The sequence below is a fragment of the Homo sapiens genome, chromosome 2, assembly GCF_000001405.40.
Source record: "Homo sapiens chromosome 2, GRCh38.p14 Primary Assembly".
NCBI lineage: Eukaryota > Metazoa > Chordata > Mammalia > Primates > Hominidae > Homo > Homo sapiens.
The window spans coordinates 238,115,795-238,136,060 of NC_000002.12; the positions used below are offsets into that span (position 1 = coordinate 238,115,795).

Genomic DNA, 20,266 nt, shown 5'->3' on the forward strand with positions numbered 1-20,266 from the left:
CCTAAGTAGCTGGGATTAGAGGCGCCCGCCACCACGCCTGGCTAATTTTTTGTATTTAGTAGAAACAGGGTTTCACCATGTTGGTCAGGCTGGTCTGGAACTCCTGACTTCAGGTGATCCACCCGCCTTGGCCTCCTCAAGTGCTGGGATTACGGGCATGAGCCACTGCGCCCGGCCAAGGGTCTCACAACTTCTTACTTAGTTCAATTCAGTGTCACCCAAAGATGCTGAGGCCCAGCTGGTCTATCTCAGAGATACATTTGGGTCAAAGGCACAGTTTTGTGAACACAGCGTTCGCCTAACTCGAGTTCGTTTTTGTGTTTCCCTGGTACTACAAAAGAGACACAGAAATGTTTACAGAATAAAGTACAGAATTCATTCTTGAGGTCCCCCGTCCCTCTTCCAACTGAATCCTTCACAGGCCAAGATGTCCTCTAGCCTTCCAGTCCTGTGGACTCCCTCCCCAGCTTCCTTCCCTCCCCTCTTCCTCCCCATTCCCATCACAAGAGCCCATCAGGTACAAGGAGACAGGAGGGTCCTGGCCCCAAGTTGGCTGGGTAGGAGCATGCAGTGTGGCTGGCAAAGGTGGTGAGCGGCTTGGTCAGGCATGAGCTGGTGCTCCAGGCACTAGGGGGGAACCTCATTGGGCCAGGAGGATGGTCCCACGGAGAGTGGGGCTGTGGCAGGAAGTAGCCCTGAGTCCCTGGGGCAGGGGCCGGTTGCTTGTCTCTCTGAGCCTCGTCTCTTCACGTGCATTGATCCACACCTCCAAGGGTGGCAAACATGGAAACTGGTTCTGCATTTGACACTTGGGCCATGGCAGCTGTGAGGGGTCTGGACGGGGCACCCTGATGCCTGTCAGCTCAGCACTGCTTCATAAGCAGTGCCTGGTACTGTCTGGGCCAGGACAGGGTGGCTGTGGGATGAGGCTCGGGGGCTCCTAGGCAGGTCTCTGGCACCCCACGGCCCAGATTCAAGTCCTGCCCCTGCTGGGAAGGGCATCAGGGCAGCCTGCGCCATGGGGCAGGGGAGCGGCCCGCACAGGGCCAGTCCCATGGGCACCTGGTTTGTGTCGTGGTGGGTCACATGTGTGCCCTCCTCACTGCAGTGCTGCCAGACCCTAGTCTCCCACCACGTGGACCCCTCCCTGCGGGATGAAGATGGTTACACGGCGGCAGACCTGGCGGAGTACCATGGACACCGGGACTGCGCCCAGTACCTGCGGGAGGTGGCCCAGCCGGTAAGGCTCAGGGTCCCCAGCTGCCCTGGAGGCATGGGGGGTGGGCCCAGACCCCAGCCAGGACCCCACTGCTGAACCTGCAGCATAGTCAGCTGGGAAGCTCACCATGTCCAACTCATACATGGCATTGGAGCCAGGAGCAAGGGCCTGGGCAGGACTGAGGCGCCACAGGGCAGCCAGTGCTAGGGCCAGGCTGTAACAGGAGCTGTGACAGGGGCCAGGACAGGGGCTGTGACAGGGGTGGGGCCAGGGCTGTGACAAGGACAGGGGCTGTAACAGGGGTCAGGACAGAGGGCATGTGACAGGGCCTGGGGCCATGGCTGTGGCCAGGGCCCGGCCTGGGCTTGTGGCTGGAACTTGGCCAGGCCATGCCTTTCGTCTGGGTCACAGAGACCACATCTGTGACTCAAGAGCCTCGGTGGCCAGAGTTCCTCGTGGGTGATGTGGGTGATGTGGGTGATGTATGTCAGACTGAGGAGCCCCAGGAGTGGGAACGGAACCTCCCAGAGGTGATCGCAAGGCGGCCAACAGCCCTGCAGCAGCCGGAAGGCAGCAGATTCCAGCCCTGGCTCTCGTCTCTCAGCCTGGGACCCCACAGCCTCTCATTTCCCCATTTGTAAGGACACGGATCTTGTCTATCCCACTGGTCCCCAGCCCTTAGAACGTGACAGAGCTCAACAAGTGTTTGCTGAATGAACTAATGAGCAAATGGACAGAAAAGCAGGTGGATGCATGAGGGTGAGCAGAGGAAGGGATGGATGGGGAGGGAACAGACAGAGGAGGAATGAATGGGGCAGGGAGGCCAAAGGAGTGAAAAATGAGGAGAGGGATACATGGAGGGGGGAGAGCTCTGGAGGGTGGACAGAGGAGAGATGGGTGGAAGAGGAATGGATGAAGAAGGGTGGAAGGAGGAGGGTGGATGGAGGGGAGGTGGACAGAGGAGAAATAGATGGAGGAAGGTGGATGGAGGAGGAATGGATGGAGGAGGGTGAATGGAGGAGGAATGGATGGAGGAGGGTGAATGGAGGAGGAATGGATGGAAGAGGATGGATGAAGGAGGGTGGATGGAGGAGTTGGATGGAGGAGGGTGGGTGGAGAAGGAATGGATGGAGGAGGGTGGATGGAGGAGGAATGGATGGAGGAATGGATGGTGGAGGATGGTTGGAGGAGGGCAGATGGAGCAGCAGATGGATGGAGGAGGGTGGATGGAGGAGGAATGGATGGAGGAATGGATGGTGGAGGGTGGATGGAGGAGGAATGGATGGAGGAGGGTAGATGGAGGAGGGTGGGTGGAGAAGGTGGATGGAGGAGGAATGGATGGAGGAGGAATGGATGGAGGAGGTGGATGGAGAAGGGTGGATGGAAGAGGGTGGACGGAGGAGGGTGGATGGAGGAGGAATGGATGGAAGAGGTGGATGGAGGAGAGTGAATGGAGGAGGTGGATGGAAAAGAGTGGATGGTGGGAGATGGAGGAGGGTGGATGGAGAAGGGTGGATGGAGGAGGAATGGATGGAAGAGGTGGATGGAGGAGAGTGAATGGAGGAGGTGGATGGAGAAGGGTGGATGGAAGAGGGTGGATGGAGGAGGGTGGATGGAGGAGGAATGGATGGAGGAGAGTGGTTGGAGGAGGGTGGATGGAGGAGGAGAGATGGAGGAGGGTGGATAGAGGAGGAATGGATGGAGGAGGAATGGATGGAGGAGGGTGGTTGCAGGAGGATGGATGGAGGAGGGTGGATGGAGGAGGGGAGATGGAGGAGGGTGGATGGAGGAGGAATGGATGGAGGAGGAATGGATGGAGGAGGGTGGAAGGAAGAGGGTGGATGGAAGAGGACGGATGGAGGAGAAATGGATGAAAGAGTTGGACGGAGGAGGTGGATGGAGGAGGGTTAATGGAGGAGGAATGGATGGAAGAGGATTGATGGAGGAGGGTGGATGGAGGAGGGTTAATGGAGGAGGAGTGGATGGAAGAGGATTGATGGAGGAGGGTGGATGGAGGAGGGTGAATGGAGGAGGAATGAATGGAAGAGGATGGATGGAAGAGGGTGAATGGAGGAGAGTGGATGGAAGAGGATGGATGGAGGAGAAGTGGATGAAGGCCTTGGATGGAGGAGGAATGGATGGAGGAGGGGAGATGGAGGAGGGTGGATGGAGGAGGAATGGATGGAGGAGGGTGGATGGAGGAGGGTGGAAGGAAGAGGGTGGATGGAAGAGGATGGATGGAGGAGAAATGGATGAAAGAGTTGGACGGAGGAGGTGGATGGAGGAGAAATGGATGAAGGAGTTGGATGGAGGAGGTGGATGGAGGAGGGTGAATGGAGGAGGTGGATGAAGGACGTGGATGAAGGAGTTGGATGCAGGAGGTGGATGGAGGAGGTGGATGGAGGAGGGTAGATGGAGGAGGGGAGGTGGAGGAGAGGAGGTTAGATGAAGGAGGAATGGATGGAGGAGGTGGATGGAGGAGGTGGATGGAGGAGGTGGGTGGAGGAGGGGAGATGGAGGAGGTGGATGGAGGAGGTGGATGAAGGAGGAATGGATGGAGGAGGTGGATGGAGGAGGTGGATGGAGGAGGGGAGCTGGAGGAGGGGAGGCCTGGGGCAGTTACTGTGACAAATCCCTCTAACCTAGCTCGGTTTCTGCCACACCTCTTTTACTGGTCATCCCTTCAGGAAGGTGTTCTGAAATCACCTGGCCCTTCTTTTCGGGTGAGGGGACTGAGGACTGGAAGGTGTCATCGCCCTCCACCCCCCAAACCCTTTGTCTCCCCAAGGGGTTGCTGTGCCTCCTCTTCTCTGATGTGTCCCCTCAGAGCATCTGGGACCAACTGGGGCAGAGCCACAGTCCCCCCCACCCCAGCCCCTGGGGCCTGCTGGACACTTGTCACACTGCCACCACTGGGGCCTCTGTTGGCACTGACGGAAACCCACACCAGTCCTGCCGTGCTGCACAGGTGGCTCAGGTGGCCTCCGGGGAGCACGGCTCTGCCCTGGTTTTTCCCTGGTGCAGCAGTTTCAGGAACTAGAATTCAGTCACTGTTGGAAGTCACGTATTTACTAAATGGTGTGCTTGCTAGGCGTCCAGCGGGTCCTGGTTCAGCAGAAGGCTGTCTTTCTGGCTTGGCTGAGAAGGTGGTGGCGCTCTGCTGGCTTCTGCCACAGAAGATGGTGCTCCATGGCCCACAGCCCAGGAGTGCCGGCTGCCTGGGTCTCCCCACAGCTCCTTCAAGGCCGCTAGGTCAGCCTTGGCCTTTTTTGGGCCCCTCCCTGCACTTCCTCCCTGGATGGCAGCCGAGATTAGCAGGTGGGGACAGCAGCAGCTCTGCAGGTGTCCCAGCCTCCACAAGCCCCTGGCACAAGGGAACAGCCCCGCCCGACCTCCTGGGAGTCCCTGACACTGTTCCCGCCCCAGCCATTCTGGGGTCCCATGCCTGGGCTTTCTGTCCAAGCAGCGCCTCTGCCTTCTGTCCCCAGACCCCGTGGTAGTGGAGGACGGGTCGTGTTAGGCTCGCCACGTCCTTCCCATCCAGAGTCCCCTCCTGCCCGCGCCTGGGCGCCCCCTGCCCGGCGCATGAAAACCCAACCCCGGGGCCTTCCCGGCTCCTCAGTCTGCAGCTTCAGGAGCCGGTTTGGGAGCTCGGGGTAGGGACTGGAGCCTGTCTCCGTCTTCTCCCTCTGGGAGGGTCTGGTGACGGCAGGGGGTGCTCGTCTCTCACCACTGGAGCTGTCCCCTCTTCAGGCCTCTGAGGGAGGGCAGGCTGTCAGCTGTGGGCTGGGGGAGGCCGTGTGCCTGCTGCAATATTGATGGGAATGCAGTCCGCAGGGGCTGCTCACACTGGCCGCCTCCGAGCTGGCCTCAGAAGAGGTGGTGAAATCCATCATCTTCCCCATGACAGCACAGCCTGTATCTGCCCCCAGGGGACTCGTGCATTCCAAGAGCAGCAGCAGCTTGGGGAGCAATGCTGGACAGGAGTGCTGAGACCTGCCCTGTGGGAGGTGCCCCCTCGGTACCTCCTTTGTGTTGGGTCTGTGGGGCCCGCCCAGCTCGGGCTCTGCTCAGGGTGCTAGGGAAGGCCAGCCCTGACCCTCCCTGGGCCTTGGGGCCCCTCTCCACGCAATGAGGGATGCGGTCTTGAAGGCCAGGGGCTGCCCTCGAGGCAGGCCCCCTCCCCTCTGCTAGCCAAGGAGCTGGGATCCTGGCTGTGGGGCTCTGAGTGCCCTGTCTGGGCAGGAATGGTGAATAGAACCCTCCATGCTCGGGGAGCAGAGCCTCTGGCATCTCCCATGGTGTCCAGGGCTGTCCCACTCACCCCCACCCGCCAGCACTGGTGCTGCCCTTCCTGGGCATGGGGCACTGGCAAGTTCTGAGCATCTCTAAACCCCAGTTTTCTCACCACAGGGTCTCTGTCACCCAGGCTGGAGTGCAGTGGCACAGTCTCAGCTCACTGCAGCCTCAGCCTTCCAGGCTCAAGTGATCCTCCCACCCCAGCCTCCCAAGTAGCTGGGACTACAGGTGTGCGCCACCACACCCAGCTAATTTTTGTATTTTTTGTAGAGACGGGGTTTGGCCATGTTGGCCAGGCTGGTCTTGAGCTCCTGGGTTCTAGTGATCCTCCCGCCTCTGCCTCCCAAAGTGCTGGGACTACAGGCATGATCCACCGTACCCGGCCCAGAGCCTTGTTTTTTGGGTAGAGGAGAAGCTCCTCGAGCACCCAATGAGGCGCCTGCCCTGGTGGGCCCTCCGGACAGGTGTACTCCCTCCCCTTTGGTCCAGAAAGGTACTAAGACATCTTTATTTTATATATGAGGAAACTGAGGCCCAGAGAAGGTGAGAGGCTTCCTGGGCACTCTCCTCCCGCTGGGAAGGGTGGCACCCACACAGCCAGTAATGGAATCTCAGCCATGGCAACGGGTGTCCGGCACCCATCCGTGGGCCGTGATTCTCTCTGACCGGGTGGCATTACAGGCCTGTGACCTGGCTCACCACGATGCTCTCCATGTATAATGCATGCAGCCTCCGCGGTGCTCAAATCTCACCAAAAACCAGGGACAGCGACAGCGGTCGGGGCCGTGGGGCCACATGACCACCAGCCTCAGGGCAACTGTCCAATGCTGGGATTCGGGGCAGCACATGTCTAAATGTTAAGACCCCAACGGACAGGACCCTGACATCTGCGCCTCCAGATCCCTGAGGCTCCATCGTGTCCAGGGCCTTCCTATGGGAGCCAGGGGTGTGGTTACTCCCGTTGCCGGAGAAACGCCACAGCCAGACTTCTCATCCCTGTTAAACTCAGAGACCATCCTAATACCGAGGGTGGCAGCAGCGTCAAGGTCTGAATGCCACTGTCTTGCAGGCCCATGCCAGGTGCTCTCCATAGTCCCTCAAATTTCCAAGAACTCTGATTTACAGGTGAAGAAATGGAGGCTCAGGGGGTGGCGTCCCGGGCTTCTCGTTGGTGAGGAGTGGAGCAGGGCTGGGCCACAGGGACCTCGAGTAAGGTCCCCCAGGCCACAGATGCTGTGCTGGGGCCAGAGTCCGGTAGTCCCCTGAGCCCCAGACTAACTTCCACCTCTTTTGTCTTCCCCAGCATAAGAGGGCGGCTGCCATCCTGCCAAGCCCCTCACTCTGCCAGGGGTGGCCCCTCTCCACTGACAGCAGGTTCCATCTCAGGGAGGGGGCTGAGGGCTCCCAGGCAGGGGCAGAGAGGAGGCGAGAGGCACCATCCCACTCCCGGCTTGGTCCTGGCTGGGCAGGGGACAGTGCGGGGGCATTGGGGTGGCCTTGCTGTTGAGGGGCCCACTCCAGGCAGGGCTCAGCCCACCTCTGTCGGTGACACCACTTGTGTCTGGCTTTTCTGGCCGCGTCTGGTCTGGAGTCTGACTCTGCCCTGCTTGAAGCAGCGACGCCAGCCTCTCGCTATGTCTTGAACGTGGACAAAGACACCAGACTCCTGGGTCCAAGACGGAGGACCTTCCTTCAGCACGGCAGGGAGCACACATCATGCTTTGAGGCGTTCCCTTGCCCCCGAGTCCCAGGTGGTGCGAGTTGGGTCCCGATGGCAGCTGTGCCGCATAGGTCTGTATCTCCTCTGAGGACCGTTGAGTCTGGGGAACACGCCGTTGCTCAGCAGACAGCAAGTCAGTCCTAGTCCCTCAGTCGCTCCCTGCACACACAGCCCTGAGAAGTGGCCCAGAAAGGACAGCCAGGCTTTGTGTTCTTGGTCTTTCCCTAGAGGCTGACCTCTGTGGTGTCCCCCACCAAGGAAGCAGCTGTTCAGGGGCACTGGAGGGAGCAAAGACTGAGGTCTCCAGTGAGACTCTCATCCCGGCTCTGCGGCAGCCCGGCTGTGGGGCTTTGAGAAAGCCCCTTGCCCTCTCTGAGCCTCAATTTCCCCATCTGTGCCCTGGGGGCCGTACCGTAGGTGGGGCTGGGGATTCCTCTGGGTGGTCTCTCTTCTCATGGGGCCCAGGGATCTCAGGTCCCCTTCCATCTCCCAGAGCATCCCCTCCCCGGCCCCTGCTCTGTGGACAGTTAAAGGTTCCGTGGTAACAGATCCCACACCCGGCCCAAGCCCGCCTGGCCACCTGACACCTCGGCCTTCAAATATTCATGTGACACCTCCCACTCCTGGGGGCGGCAGCCTCAGCAGCCCCCGGTGTCCCAGGACAGCTGTGCTCCCTGCACTCTGCAGTTCGCGTCTGAGGGCCTCCGGGGCTGGGGCTGGGCGGTTGCTCCCCAGCCCACCGCGCACCAGGGTTCCTGGGCTGTGGGCACAGATTCCTGGAAGGAGTGAGGTGCGTGGGGGCCGGGCAGATGGGCTTTCAGACTGTGTTCCCTTCCCCGTGGCCCAGTGGGGTGAGGGTCCTGGAGGGGAGGTGGCCGAGGGGCCACCCAGCATCCTTGCTGGGAGGCAGCCTGTGCCACCTTGTCCATGAGCAAGGGAGGCTTAGGGAGGCCAGAGATTTGCTCAGGCAGGGCCAACTTCACTGCAGTCCGGCCCCGGTGCAGCAGGAAAATGGGGGCCCTGCATTCGGAAAGGAGAACGAATTTGAAGGCAGAGACAGCCGTGCATTCGAGCAAGCTGCAGCATGGGTCCCTCCCCCTCCCACGACGGGCCCTGGGCCCAGGCCACATGTCCAGAATCGTGGCCGATTTGAGTGCTCTGCTCTGCCCAGGGCTCTCACTAGCACTGACCCTGGAGCCCTGATGGCCACGTCTGGCTTCCAGTGCCCACTGGAGGGCAGGGACAAGAGCTTTGGTCTGACAGGCACAGTGGGGGAGGTGCCCAGAGGGACGGTGGCATGCGGCCCTGCTGGCTGGGGACAAGGGCTGCCCATGCCCTCGGCTGGTGGGCACATTGGGGACCCCATCCTAGTCCACTGCCCTTCCCTCTCCTCACCAGGTTTCTCACTTGGCCATCCACCCCCAAGACACTGACAGGCCCCATGTCAGGGCTGAAGTTCCAGGCGGACCACAGCACAGGAGTCAGGGCAGTCGGGGAGGGGGGTGTGCGGGAGAGTGTACGTGCGTGTGTGCAGGAGAGTACGTGTGTGTGTGTGCAGGAGAGTGTACGTGTGTGTGCAGGAGGGTACATGCGTGTGTGTGCAGGAGAGTGTACGTGCATGTGTGCAGGAGAGTGTACATGTGTGTGTGTGCAGGAGAGTACGTGCATGTGTGTGCAGGAGAGTACGTGCATGTGTGCAGGAGAGTACATGCATGTGTGTGCAGGAGAGTGTACATGCGTGTGTGCAGGAGAGTACGTGCGTGTGTGTGCAGGAGAGTGTACGTGCATGTGTGCAGGAGAGTACATGCATGTGTGTGCAGGAGAGCATACATGCGTGTGTGTGCATATGTGTGCACATGTCTTTGTGAGACCACAGGGCGCTGGGCACAGCTGGAAACCAGGCCCTAACCCAGTACCCGGAGCCCCAGAGCTCAGCTGCCTCCAGAGGGAGCCTGGAAGCTGAGCTTTGAGATGGGGGTGGCCCACCCAATAGAGGTGAAAGTGGGCGGGGAACCAAGGTGGGGTGCCAGGAAGTGATGGCACTCAGGCAGGAGATGACCCTGGGACAGAACCCTGATCAAGGACCTGCCCCTCTCCTGCCACCTCCTTACCTGTCCCAGCCCTTCTCAGATGCACAGGCTCCCCAAGGCTCGTCCACTGGGTGCCCCTGCCCCTGTCTAGGTGAGCAGGGAAGAGCCCACGGGGGTCCCCCACTGACCAGGCCCATTCACCCACAGGTGCCCCTGCTGATGACGCCCCCACCACCACCGTTCCCCCCACCTCCACTGTTGGCCACGAGGCGCTCCCTGGAGGATGGAAGAAGAGGAGGCCCAGGGCCAGGGAACCCCAGCCGTGAGTGCACAGCCCCAAGTGGGCCACCCAGGGCATGGGCCTGGGAGAGGGTGCCACTGGCCTCCCCTCCGAGGTCCTGGACCGGTGGGCAAGTCTGCGGGCAGCCGGGCACCCCATCACCCTCCCTCCCCAGTTGCTTCCAGGTTTCCTTGACTGTCTTTGGTGCTTTGGAAACATGAGGATTAGCATTTTCCGTGGTGGGCACTTACAGCTACAGCAACTTATCCAGGGGTAAAAGCGGGGAGACGGGCCGGTTGGGCCCAGGCCCCTTGTGGATGGGCTGCTGTCCCTCAGACCCCAGCACACCTCGCATGCATGGGCTAGCAGGGCAAGCAACAGTCCTCACGCTGTGGGCCACCACCATTAGGGGTCTGTGACCAGCTTGGAGTGGAGTGGAGTGGAGTGGAGTGGAGTGGAGTGGAGTGGAATGGAATTATCAACAGGTGCCACAGGTAGTGAGGGCGAGCTTCCTCCACGGGCCCTGCTGCGGCCCTGTACTCACATGTGGGAGTGTGCTTCTGTGTGTGATTGTGTCTGTGTGTTCTGTGTGTGATACACATAGATACGGGGACCCTTCTCTGTGTGTGATTGTGTCTGTGTGTGATTGTGTCTGTGTGTATCTGTGTATGTTGTGTCTGTGTCTGTGTGTCTGTGTGATTATGTCTGTGTGTATGTGTGTGATTGTTCATGTGTGTCTGTGTGTGACTATGTCTATGTGATTGTGTGTCTCTGTGATTGATTGTGTCTGTGTCTGTGTGATTGTGTCTGTGTGCATCTGTGTGTGATTGTGTTCGAGTGTGTGATCGTGTCTGTGATTGTGTCTCTCTGTGATTGTGTCTGTGTCTGTATTGTATGTATGTGTATGGTGATTGTGTGTTCTGTACATCTGTGTATTGTGTTTGTGTTTCTGTGCATGATTGTGTATCTGTGTGTGATTGTGTCTGTGTGTCTGTATGTGATTGTGTGTGTGATTGTGTCTGTGTGTGTCTTTGTGATTGTGTGTCTCTGTATGATTATGCCTGTGTATGTGTGTTTGTGTTTGTGTGTCTGTGTCAGTGTGTGATTGTGTCTATGTGATTGTGTGTATCTGTGTGATTGTGTGTCTGTTCTGTCTGTTTCTGTGTGTGATTGTGTCTATGCATCTGTGTGTGATTGTGCCTGTGTGTATCTGTGTGATTGTGTTTGTGTGTGTCTGTGATTGTGTCTGTGTGTATCTGTGTGTGATTGTGTCCGTGTCTGTGTGTCTGTTCTGTGTTTCTGTGTGATTGTGTCTGTGATTGTGTCTGTGTGATTGTGTGTATGTGATTGTGTCTGTGTATGCTTGTGTCTGTGTGTCTCTGCGTATGATTGTGTCTGTGTGTATCTGTGATTGTGTCTGTGTATCTGTGTGTGATTCTGTGTGATTGTGTTTGTGTATGTCTGTTCTGTGTCTGTGTGTTTCTCTGTGTGTGACTGTATCTGTGTGTGATTGTGTCTGCGTGTGTGATTGTGTCTGTATGTCTGTGTGATTGTGTGATTGTGTGTGTATGATCGTGTCTGTGTGTCTGTGATTGTGTGTGTCACTGTTATTGTGTGTCTGTGTGTATGTGTGTGATTGTGTCTATCTGTGTGTGATTGTGTATCTGTGTGTGATTGTGTTTGTGTGTCTGTTCTGTGTGTGTTTCTGTGATTGTATCTGTGTGTATAATTGTGTCTGTGTGTATGATTGTGTCTGTGTCTGTATGTGATGTGATTGTGTCTGTGTCTGTGTGATTGTGTCTGTGTTGTGTGTATGTGATTGTGTCTGTGCATGTCTGTGTGTGATTGTGTCTGTGCGTGTCTGCCTGGCTGTGATGCAGACGTGTTCTTCACTCGAGGTTGACCCTGAAGTGTGTGTTTTCATCGGGGCAGGGAGCATTGCAGGCAGCAAGGGAACCAGCTTTGGGGCCTGCAGAGCTGCGTTAGGGGCGGCCTCAAGCCCTTCCCAGCTCCTCCCCTGCTGCAGGAGGGGCCGCGGCGTGGCCCAGCGGTGTGCCGCAGGCTCTCCCATCGACCAGGCGGGGGCGGGCCCCACTGACTCCCCAGAGAAGGTCCAGTGGGGCCCCCGAGGTGTTCTGGGGCAGGGTGGGCTGGGGTCAGCTCCCAGCTCGCAGATCGTTCAGGAGGTCAGCTCTGCCCCCAGGGCCGGATCCCCGAGGCTCTGGGTCTCTGCTCCCCAGCCCTTGCCCTTTCTGCAACACCCTTCTTCTTCTTGGCAGCCATGTCCCTCAGCCCGGCCTGGCCTGGCCATCCTGACCAGCCTCTTCCCAGGGAGCAGATGACCAGCCCGGCCCCTCCGAGGATCATCACCAGTGCCACGGCTGACCCCGAGGTTCGTCCTCCACCCCTGCATTCCTGTCTCCCGGGGCCCCTAGCCAGCCTCCATTCCCATCCTCTTAGGGGCCCAGAGAAGCCCCCAGCACAGCCAGGCCTTTCCTGAAGGGTGGATGCCAGGCTGCCTGCGTCACTCCGCTGCTCTCGAGAACACCCTGAGTTCTGAAGAGACAGGAATGTCAGGGCGACGGCAGCTGTCCCCCCCACCACAGAAACACGGGGACCCTTCTCTGTTATCCCAGAGGGCTGCAGTGGCCCAGGCCCCTCTCCCTGACCTCTGAGCTCAGGGGTGCTCCGTGCCCGCTTGGAGTGCGGAGATCGCAGCAGCCATCCATGGGCAGGGCCCCGCTGCCACCGTCCTCCTCCTCAGGGCCTCGGCCAGCCCAGACCAGCAGAAGGGTCCTGCTCCCCCTTACTCTCCCTTTCCTGGGCGCCGGGCCCTTAGAAAGCCAGCCCAGACTTTCCCTGCGTGGTACTGCAGATTCTCAACCATTGAGGTGTTCGGTGGGAGTCTGGGAAACGCCACGTGGCGCTGCTGCCCGTCGTGGAGAGCTGGAGCGCGCACGGCACATTGAAGGCTCTGACAAGCCCTCCGCGGCACAGGATTGGCTGCCAGGCTTTGTCTATGTAGCTGTGCCCAGAGCAAGTTTGCCCAGGGATACGGTGCGCTCCGCGAGCATCTGCTGGGCTTGCACAGGGGACGGGGAGGGACCTCTGGTTTCATTTCTCTGCCGACAATCCCCTCACACACATCTTACCCCGCCCCCTCCAGTCCCTCCCCTCTGAGGCCTCACTCTTAAGCTGGGGATGAGGGGGTGGGGTGCTGTCCGTGGCCCCCACTGTCCCTCCTCTCAGGGCGCCCTGTTAGCGTGCCCTGGGCGGAGCCAACCCCCCACGTCCTCTCGGATCTTCCCTCCACTCAGGGCCTGGGTCCCCTTCGGGCCTGTGTGACCCACCCCCTTCTGCACAGGGGACAGAGACGGCGCTGGCGGGGGACACCTCAGATGGCCTGGCCGCACTACAGCTGGATGGGCTGCCCTCAGGCGACATCGACGGGCTGGTGCCCACGCGGGATGAGCGCGGCCAGCCCATCCCAGAGTGGAAGCGGCAGGTGATGGTGCGGAAGCTGCAGGCGCGCCTGGGCGCAGAGAGCTCCGCAGAGGCCCAGGTAGGCCCCCGGCAGGGGCGGGACCAGTGGGCGGGGCGGGGCCTTTTCCAGGTAGGTGGAAGTGGAAGTCAGGGCGCCCGAAGCCCAGAACTGAATCCAAGACCCAGGGGCCCCTCTCCTCTGTGGCCTCAGCTGCTGCTTCCGCCGGAGGATGAAGTGAACCTGACCAGAGGACTCTGAGCAGAGCCCCTTCACCTGCTCTGGAGGCATGGGTCCCACGTATCCTTCCACTTGGCGGATTTGTGGCACATGCCTGCCTGTGCCAAGCGTTGTTCTAGGCCTTCCTGGGCGCAGCGTCTAGCAGGGAAGACGGTGGCCCATGGGCAGGTGCCGGCAGGTGTGTGGGGTGCGATTCCCACTGCTGTGGAGAAAGCAAAGCAGTTGGGGGACTATGATATATGGGTGCTTAGGGGGCCCCCTCTGGGGACGTGGCCTTGAGCAGGGGCCAGAGGGAAGAGAGGGGGAGCCCTGTGGGAATTTGGGGCAAGCACCTCCTAGGCAGAGGGAACAGCCAGTGCAAGGGTCCTGAGGCCGGGCTGGCCGGGGGAGGAGCAGGAGGAGGCGCCCTGGCATGGAGTGGGCGCCTGAGGTTGGAGAGGAACCTGGCTGGGATTATTGCACCTCTGTGAGGCCGTGGGGAGCCACTGAGAATCTGAGCAGAGAAGGGCTGTGATGTGCCTTGGATTTTAACAGGCTCCCCGGGCTGCTGTGCAGACAGGAGTTCAGGAATTATGTCCTCAGAGTCCTATGATTTTGTCAAGATGATTGAGTTCTGTGCCCCCGGCCCAGCGCTGTGTCCAGCGCAATCCTGCCAGCCACATGCAGCCACTGAAATTCATTACAATTTAAGGAAAGTAAAAGTCCTGCCCCTCCGTCGCACCAGCCACCTGTCGTTTCTGTAGCCACAGGTGGCTCCTGGCTGCTGGAATACAGCCTGTCTCCATCGTCTCAGGACTGTGGGACAGCCCTGTCTGAGGGCCCAGCCTGTCCTTGCCTGTTGGGCTGGGAGCCGTAGGGGCTGAAAGCCACAGGGTTGAGAGCAGAGCAAGACGGGCAGAGCAGGTCAGGGGCTTCTGCCCTAGCTGGGAAGCCCTTTAAAGTCTTACCTTGGGGCAGGACCAGAGGCTCTGCAGAGATACTGAGAACTCAGGGACTTGGAAGCTAGGTGGGCTGATGGTGGGTGGGTGGGCTCACCCTGCTCACCCTGCCCTTCCTGTGCCCAGGACAATGGTGGGAGCTCAGGCCCCACGGAGCAGGCGGCCTGGAGGTACTCACAGACTCATCAGGCCATCCTGGGGCCCTTTGGGGAGCTGCTGACAGAGGATGACCTGGTCTACCTGGAGAAGCAGATTGCAGACCTGCAGCTTCGGCGCCGCTGTCAGGAGTATGAGAGTGAGCTGGGCCGGTTGGCGGCTGAGCTGCAGGCCCTGCTGCCCGAGCCCCTGGTCAGCATCACGGTCAACAGCCACTTCCTGCCCCGGGCGCCCGGACTGGAGGTTGAGGAGGCCTCAATCCCAGCGGCTGAGCCCGCAGGGTCTGCGGAGGCCTCAGAGGTGGCCCCCGGGGTGCAGCCCCTGCCCTTCTGGTGCAGCCACATCTCCCGCCTGGTACGCAGCCTGTCCCTGCTGCTGAAGGGCGTGCATGGGCTAGTACAGGGGGATGAGAAGCCATCCACCCGGCCCCTGCAGGACACCTGCAGGGAGGCCTCGGCCAGCCCCCCTCGGAGCGAGGCCCAGCGCCAGATCCAGGAGTGGGGGGTGTCTGTGCGGACGCTGCGGGGCAACTTCGAGTCGGCCTCTGGCCCACTCTGTGGCTTCAACCCTGGCCCCTGCGAGCCGGGGGCCCAGCACAGGCAGTGCCTGAGTGGCTGCTGGCCAGCCCTGCCTAAGCCCCGCAGTGGCCTGGCTTCAGGGGAGCCCAGGCCTGGCGACACAGAGGAGGCCAGCGACTCTGGCATCAGCTGCGAGGAGGTGCCATCAGAGGCGGGTGCCGCAGCCGGCCCAGACCTGGCCAGCCTGCGCAAGGAGCGCATCATCATGCTCTTCCTCAGCCACTGGAGGAGATCGGCCTACACGCCGGCCCTCAAGACAGTGGCCTGCAGGACCCTAGGAGCCCGCCACGCGGGGTTGCGGGGCCAGGAGGCCGCCAGGAGCCCTGGGCCACCCTCCCCGCCCAGCGAGGGCCCCCGGCTGGGCCACCTGTGGCAGCAGCGCAGCACCATCACCCACCTGCTGGGCAACTGGAAGGCCATCATGGCTCACGTGCCCGCCCGGCAGCTGCGGCGGCTGAGCCGGCAGCCCCGCGGGGCTTTGTCCCCCGAGCAGTTCCTGCCCCACGTGGACGGGGCTCCGGTGCCCTACAGCAGCCTCTCACTGGATCTCTTCATGCTGGGTTACTTCCAGCTGCTGGAGTGCGACCTGCCGGCGGAGGAGCGGAAGCTGCGCCACCTGCTGTGCTTCGAGGTCTTCGAGCACCTGGGCACCCACGGCTGGGAGGCTGTGCGCGCCTTCCACAAGGCCGTGACCGACGAGGTGGCCGCCGGCCGCCGGGCCTGGACCGACGGCTTCGAGGACATCAAAGCCCGCTTCTTTGGCTCCAGCCAGCGTCCCGCCTGGGATACGGAGCCTGGCCGCAAGTCAGGTCTGACCCTGCTCGGGCCCCTGCCTCACGCCGCCGTCCCCTGCAGCGGCCCTGAGCCCACAGCACAGCGGCTGGGGTCCCGCTCCCAGCAGGGCAGCTTCAACGGTGAGGACATCTGCGGCTACATCAACCGCAGCTTTGCCTTCTGGAAGGAGAAGGAAGCTGAGATGTTCAACTTTGGAGAATGACCCTACTGGCAGCCTGCTTTCCAGAATGTGGTTTGGGGGTGACTTGGAGTTTCTCTTTTCTTTTCCTTGCTCACACCCTTGGTGTTCAGGTGAGCCGGGCAAGGCTGCCTCCAGTCCTACCAGTTATCGGAGGCTGCGGGACTGTTCTGTTGTGGCATGGTTCTCCTCCGAGCTGGGACTCAGACTCCTTCTCACCACTGCACCCAGGAAGCCCCTTGGCAGGTCCTGAAGTGAGGCAATGGGCCACCCCAGTCCAGGGCACCTCTGCCCAGCCGGCCCCCGAGACCTGGGATGCTGCCTGTTTCTCACTTGTCCTTCCCCAGTGTCACCAGTTCCCTTGGCGTCCTGTCCCTCAGTTTCTGTGGTGCTGGTGGCCTCGGCCACATCCATCTTTCATGTGAGTCTGAGGTGGCCCCAGGCCCTGGTCCTGCCCCTGTTTCTCCTGCTGACCTTGGGTCACACCCCTTCACCTCCCATCTGTGAATTTGGGGGAGCTGGAGTGATTCCGAGGACAGATTCCATGGGCAGGAGGCCTTCCTGCCAGGCCATCCCTGCTGGTCACACACCGATGCCCGCCAGGCCAGTGCCCCAGCCCAGGGTGCTCCGGAGGCCCTGCTTCCTCAAAGGAGGCTCCCCATGGGGCCCCTGTCCTCCAGCCTGACCAGCCCTGGCCTAGTCGTGGGCCCCAGCAAGGCTGGAGAGCAGGGACGTGGGAGTAGCAGTGGCTGAGAGAGTCCTCCAGGCAGGGTGGCTGGTGCCCACTCTCAAAGGCTGCTGCACACAGAGGAGAATGCCGGCAGGGGTGGGCAGCAGCCAGACCTCAGGGGGGCGTGGATACTCCGTGAGGGCACCTGGGTGTCACCCACAGTGCACCTCTTCACAGGGGCCTGGGTACTGGAGGGAGGGATACAGGAAGGGAGATGGATTCCGTCCTCGGGGGCTCTGGGTGCTGCGGAGTATTCCTGGGCATGGTGCTGGGCATGGCTGGCATAGGGTGTGGCTTGTCCCCAGCTTCTGATGGCAGCCAGGAGAATGGGTCATCACCCAGGCTCTGGGGCTGAGGAGGGCTGGGCCCAAGCCCACAGGGACTTTGGAGGTGGGGCTCTGCAGCTGTGAGATGGCCCAGCAGGGAGTGGCAGGGACGGGAGGCTTCAGGAATATTCCTCCTGGCATCCAGGCCCCCTGGGACAGAGGAGGGTGCAGTCAGGCGACAGGCTTATCAGGACTCCCTGCCTCAATCCCTGGGGATTGTCCAGGCAAAACCTGGAGGGCAGCGGGCAAGCTGTTGGATGGAACAGAGAGACCCTCGCAGCTGACTAGGGCCCAAGGGGACGGACACTCAAGAAGATGTAAAATTGGGAGGGGTGGTATTGGCCATTGGGGCAGGCAGGGCCGGGAAGGGAAGTAGCACCGGCCGCAGCCCCAAGCCAGTGGCTTTTCCACAAGGGCCTATCCTGCAGCCGGCCCGCTCCGGCTTCCTCCACTGCTGAAGACCCTGCTGTAGAGCTGAAGCTGAACATGTGTTTGCTAAATAAAGATTCCCATTCCTAGCGCACCCCCTCTCTTGCACTTGTTGTTCACCCATCCCTGAGAGCCGCCTACGCCCTCACAGAGCCCGGTACCAAACCCGAGTCCTCAGCTCAGCTCTGCCGAAATACCAGGGCCATTGTCCTTAGTCCCTCAGAGCCTCTGGTTTCTCATTTGCAGCTTGGGATGCATGCGGACCTCATGCTCCTGGGATTGTGGTGAAGGAGGATGCAGGTCCCACATGGGAGGGGCCTCTGTGCTGGGGAAACAGCATCGTCTCAGACACTCACCAACGTGCAGCCAGCATTTCAGAGTTCCTTCTCTTTGTTTCTTTCTTCCCTTTTTTCCTTTCTTTCTTCCTTTCTTTCCTTCATTTTCTTTTCTTTCTTTCTCTTTTTCTTTTCTTTTCTGTAGATTCAGTGGCTGAATCTACAGGTGTCAGCCACCATGCCCAGCTAATTTCTTTTTATTTTTTGTAGGGACAAAGTCTTGCTATGTTGCCCAGGCTGGTCTTGAACTCCTGGGCTCAAGCAGTCTGCGCGCCTCAGCCTCTCAAAGTGCTGGGATTACAGGTGTTTCTGAGCTGCTTCTAACGAGCAGGGCACTGGGAGCAGCCAGGAGCATCCTGAACGCTGCCTCTCAGTCAGTGGGGCCCTGGCTCTTGGCCACAACACGCCCCCAGTGGAGACAGAGCAGGGCTGCTCCACCCAGTGCGGTCACTGCCCAGGGCTGGCAGAGGGCAAGGGGCAGCAGGTGGGTCTAGGGAGAGCCCTTGGCTGGGGGCATCAGAAGGTTTGGGCGCTGCAGTGTCTCCTGAGATCCCCTCATGCACCAGCTGCTGGCAATGTTGTTCTGAGGGCCCTGACAGAGGAGGGGGCTGGAGGCAGGGGCAGCAGGCCTCAGGTCACTCCCTGGCCGAGGGTGCTCAAGAGAGAGCACTGGGCAGGGAGTCGGCCCTCCTGGCTCCGGCTGTCCCTGCCCACTCGCTATGCCCTTGGGCAAGTCCTCCATAGCCTCCAGGCCTCAGTTTCCCAGCTGAGGAGCTGGATCAAGGCCAGCAGGGGACACACACATCAGGGGTCCCAGGAGAGCCTGGGGTGGGATGAGCCAGGCGAGGGGTGAGATGTGGCTCAGATCCAGGCTAGGCCCCTGGAGTGCTGCTGGGGTGACCCCTAAATGACCTTCTGCCAACACCCTGCCTCTGGGGGAGCTGCCCCAGGGATTCTGATTCCCTTGGCCTGGGGTAGGTCTGGAAAGCTGGGGTTTTAACACATTCCAGGCGGCTCCGATTCCCAGCAGCTGGCACCCGTGGCCCACCAGCAGCTCACCTGTGGGAAGCACGTGTCCCCGGGGGCAGGCAGGCACTGGCCCCTGCGCCACCACACTCACAGCTGTAGGGCCCATTTGGTGCCTATAAATCTGTTGTTCAATTGACAAAAGACTCACTGAGGACCAGAGACGGAATCTACAGCACCCCGGAGGTGCCGATGTCAGTGAGGTGGTCACACGCAAAGCAAAGGCGCAAAGCCTGGGGGCTTCCCATGAGTCAGAAACATCCAGGAGAAAGGGAGCCCCGTGTCCCCAGTCCATAGATGGCAGGATGGAGATGTGGAAAAACAGAAACCCTCCCCAAGGGCGGTGCTGGAACCCCAGCTTCTCCCTCGCAGCTGGGTCAATGTGCAGAGGGGCGGGCTCCCTGCATGTCGGTGCACAGGCTTAATGCAAAGCCCAGCTCATTTAAAAATTCAATGTCGGCCGGGTGCGGTGGCTCACGCCTGTAATCCCAGCACTTTGGGAGGCTGAGGCAGGTGGATCACGAGGTCAAGAGATCAAGATCATCCTCGCCGACATGGTGAAACCCCGTCTCTACTAAAAACACAAAAATTAGCTGGGCGTGGTGGCGGGCACCTGTAATCCCAGCTACTCGGGAAGCTGAGGCAGAATTGCTCGAACCTGGGAGGCAGAGGTTGTAGTGAGCCGAGCTCATGCCACTGCACTCCAGCCTGGGTGACAGAGCAAGACTCTGTCTCAAAAACAAAAAAGATTTTCAATTTCATCTCAATAGGATGACGTTGCTCTTTGTGAAGCTGGGAGTGATAACCTCCTTCTGTTCGTGGACGCTCAGGCTGTTTTCCATTTGGGACTATTACAATGAAGGTGGTGTCACCTGTGTGATTATTCCCTCAGAATGGATTCCGAGCGTGAAATCACCGAGTTAAAATCTGTAAGGCCGGGTGCAGTGGCTCACGCCTGTAATCCCAGCACTCTGGGAGGCCAAGGCAGGCAGATCACTTGAGGTCAGGAGACCATCCTGGCCAACATGGTGAAACCCCATCCCTACTAAGAATACAGAAAAATTAGCTGGGCATGGTGGTGCATACCTGTAATCCCAGCTACTCAGGAGGCTGAGGCAGGAGAATCGCTTGAACCCAGGAGGCGGAGGTTGCCGTGAGCGGAGATTGCACCACTGCACTCCAACCTGGGTGATAAAGCGAGACTCCATCTCCAAAGAGACAAACAAACAAACAAACAAAAAACTGTGTGAGTGAGCTCCCCTCTGCTGGGCTGGGGGCCTTCCAGCTGTGAGGATGTCCCAGGCTGGGTCCGCATATCAGTCTGCCCCCTTCTCGGGGGCCTTACAGCCCTGCACAGCACCTCTCACTCCATCTGGGGTGATTTGGGGCCTGGGTTCCATCGGGCTGACCTTGTTTCCCTTTCACCAGCACTCTCACACGTCAGACGGCCCCTCCTTCCCTGCGGACTTGCCGTGGCACCGCTTTCTGTGCATTGGCTGTTGGGAT

General features: G+C 60.1%; 1 protein-coding gene across 3 annotated transcripts in view, besides 2 other annotated features; it reads left to right on the plus strand.

The window, feature by feature from the left end:
• Window positions 1-17,493, plus strand: part of ESPNL (espin like) — a 32,948-nt gene extending 15,455 nt beyond the window's left edge. The window contains exons 5-9 of one of the 3 annotated variants that reach the window (NM_194312.4): window positions 1,109-1,240; window positions 9,476-9,590; window positions 11,828-11,940; window positions 12,913-13,110; window positions 14,334-17,493. In NM_194312.4, the coding sequence (NP_919288.2) occupies window positions 1,109-1,240; window positions 9,476-9,590; window positions 11,828-11,940; window positions 12,913-13,110; window positions 14,334-15,938 (2,163 nt within the window). In that variant the 3' untranslated portion in view covers window positions 15,939-17,493. The other 2 variants (NM_001308370.2, XM_011511087.2) reach the window with 2 other exon arrangements.
• Window positions 11,611-11,670: a silencer, noted in NCBI's record as "silent region_12486". NCBI's record gives its function as "represses an Ori minimal core promoter by ATAC-STARR-seq in GM12878 lymphoblastoid cells {active_cell/tissue: GM12878}" and the evidence as "EXISTENCE:reporter gene assay evidence [ECO:0000049][PMID:35858748]".
• Window positions 14,570-15,240: an enhancer, noted in NCBI's record as "H3K27ac-H3K4me1 hESC enhancer chr2:239039005-239039675 (GRCh37/hg19 assembly coordinates)". NCBI's record gives its function as "activates a minimal SCP1, AML or CMV promoter by ChIP-STARR-seq in primed H9 embryonic stem cells {active_cell/tissue: H9 hESC(primed)}" and the evidence as "EXISTENCE:reporter gene assay evidence [ECO:0000049][PMID:30033119]".
• Window positions 17,494-20,266: the final 2,773 nt, after the last annotated feature.